This window comes from Homo sapiens, chromosome 11 (genome assembly GCF_000001405.40).
Source record: "Homo sapiens chromosome 11, GRCh38.p14 Primary Assembly".
In the NCBI taxonomy this organism is placed as follows: Eukaryota; Metazoa; Chordata; class Mammalia; order Primates; family Hominidae; genus Homo; species Homo sapiens.
Window position 1 is genome coordinate 71,310,010 of NC_000011.10, and position 2,032 is coordinate 71,312,041.

General features: G+C 47.0%; 1 annotated feature.

The window, feature by feature from the left end:
- Positions 345-454: an enhancer, noted in NCBI's record as "active region_5165". NCBI's record gives its function as "activates an Ori minimal core promoter by ATAC-STARR-seq in GM12878 lymphoblastoid cells {active_cell/tissue: GM12878}" and the evidence as "EXISTENCE:reporter gene assay evidence [ECO:0000049][PMID:35858748]".

Consider the following 2,032-nt stretch of genomic DNA (forward strand, 5'->3'; position numbering starts at 1 on the left):
GTCAGGAATAACGTGTTATAAAGCTATTGTAAGATAAACTTGTCACTGATTTCTTCCATTTCTCTCTTGATGTCCTATTTTTAGATTTGCAATGAATATCATTCTAAATAAAGAAAAATTTAAAATTTAAATTATTCGTATAAATTGGTTTTAAACTCATGTATAAGATCATTGAACCTGTGTGTGGAATTGGAGAAATTATACCATTTGTCTTTCATGGCTCACACCTGCACATGTATTGTGTTCTTGTAAGACAAAACAGCAGCTTTTCTTTTACTCCTCCAGATGCATACATTCTAAACTCTCTACCTTCCACTTACTGGTGGGTAAGGAAGAAGTGAAAGGCGAGGGGACTTTTTCTTTCCTTCTGTGTCATAATTCTCAGCATTAATGGTTGGCTATAACACAGAAATCACATGAGTAAGAAAGAATATGATGAGGCCCAGTGTGGTGCCTCACGCCTGTAATCCCAGCACTTTGGGGGACTGAAGCGGGAGGATTGCTTGAGTCCAGGAGTTCGAGACCAGCCTGGGCAACATAGTGAGACCCTGTCTCTACAAATAATAAAAAATTAGCCAGGTGTGGTGGTGTGTGCCTGTAGTCCCTGCTAGTTGGGAGGCTGAGGTGGGAGGATCACTTGAACCTGGGAGGTCGAGGCTGCAGTGAGACATGATGGTGCCACTGCATTCCAGCCTGGGTAACAGAGTGAGACCCTATCTCAAAAAAATAAAAGAATATGATGGGTTGTTCCCCTCCACCACCAATTCATATGTTGAAGCCCTATCGCCCAGTGCCTCAGGATGTGACCACATTTGGGTCTTTAAAGAGGCAAATAAGTTAAATTGAGGTCTTCAGAGTGGGTCCTAGTCCCACATGACTGTGTCCTTATAAGAAGAGAAGGACTCAGACACACACAGAGGGTTGACCCTGAGAAGACATGGGGAGAAGGTGGCATCTACAAGCCAAGGAGAGAGGCCTCAGGAGGAACCAGCCCTGCGACGCTTTGATCTCGACTTCCACCCTCTACGACCGTGAGAGAAAAAGTATCCGTTGTTTGAGCTCCCCAGTCAGCAGTATTTTGTTACAGCAGCATGAGCTGACTAACACAGACTCCTCAGTTGTTCTGGTTCTTATTTGTTTATTTTTCATCTTTTTTTCTTAATAAAAATAAAACATAGAAATGGGGTCTTACTATGTTGCCCAGACTGGTGTGGAATTCCTGGGCTCAAGCGATCCTCCCACAGCCTCCCAAAGTGCCGGGATTATTGGAGTGAACTGCCATGCCTGGCCTGTTCCTTTTCTTCGAGGGCCATCTTTCTGCATTTGAAGCAGGCTCTGACTTAAGTGGAAATGGCATCCTCCGGGGCTGTACCGCGTTTAGGCATTTGCGGACCTTACACACTGGGCTTGCACTCTCTTGGAGTCTTGCTTAGTGACACTACAGGAGAACTGTGCAAGGCTGGTGAGCATACACCCAGCTTGAGCCTCCTGCCACAGACACACTCCACTGTCCCATTGGACTTCAGTTACAAGACACATGTTCAAAGATAGACTACTAAAAATGATAAGATGGTGACAGCAGAACATTAAACCAAAGCTGGGGCTGTTCCAAGCACAGGCCCCGTGTGACGGCAAGTGTTGTCCTGGGTCTAAGAAAGGAAGCACAGAAACCTCGTGCCCGGAAGGGGAGCCACAGCTCAGGGACAGAGCCGAGAAGCAGGGCTGAGCAGAGCTGGGGGAACCCAGGGAACACACCCATGGGGCACAGAGTGACCGCCCCTCCACACCTGCTCTGTGCTTCCAGCACCAGAGCCCTGTTGTTGGAAGCACTTTAGTCTCTCACTTATTGCAAAAGACTGACCTGATTCCCAGACCTCAGTCTCCCCATCCTGTGGAGTGGGGATATCAGGTGCCCACCCTGCCTGTCTGCTAGTGTAGAGGTGCTTCGTGAAAAGCCAGAAACTCAACAAAAATGTCAGAAATCATTGTGCATACGAGATGGGAGAATTCCCTTGACCCCTTCGCTGGACTT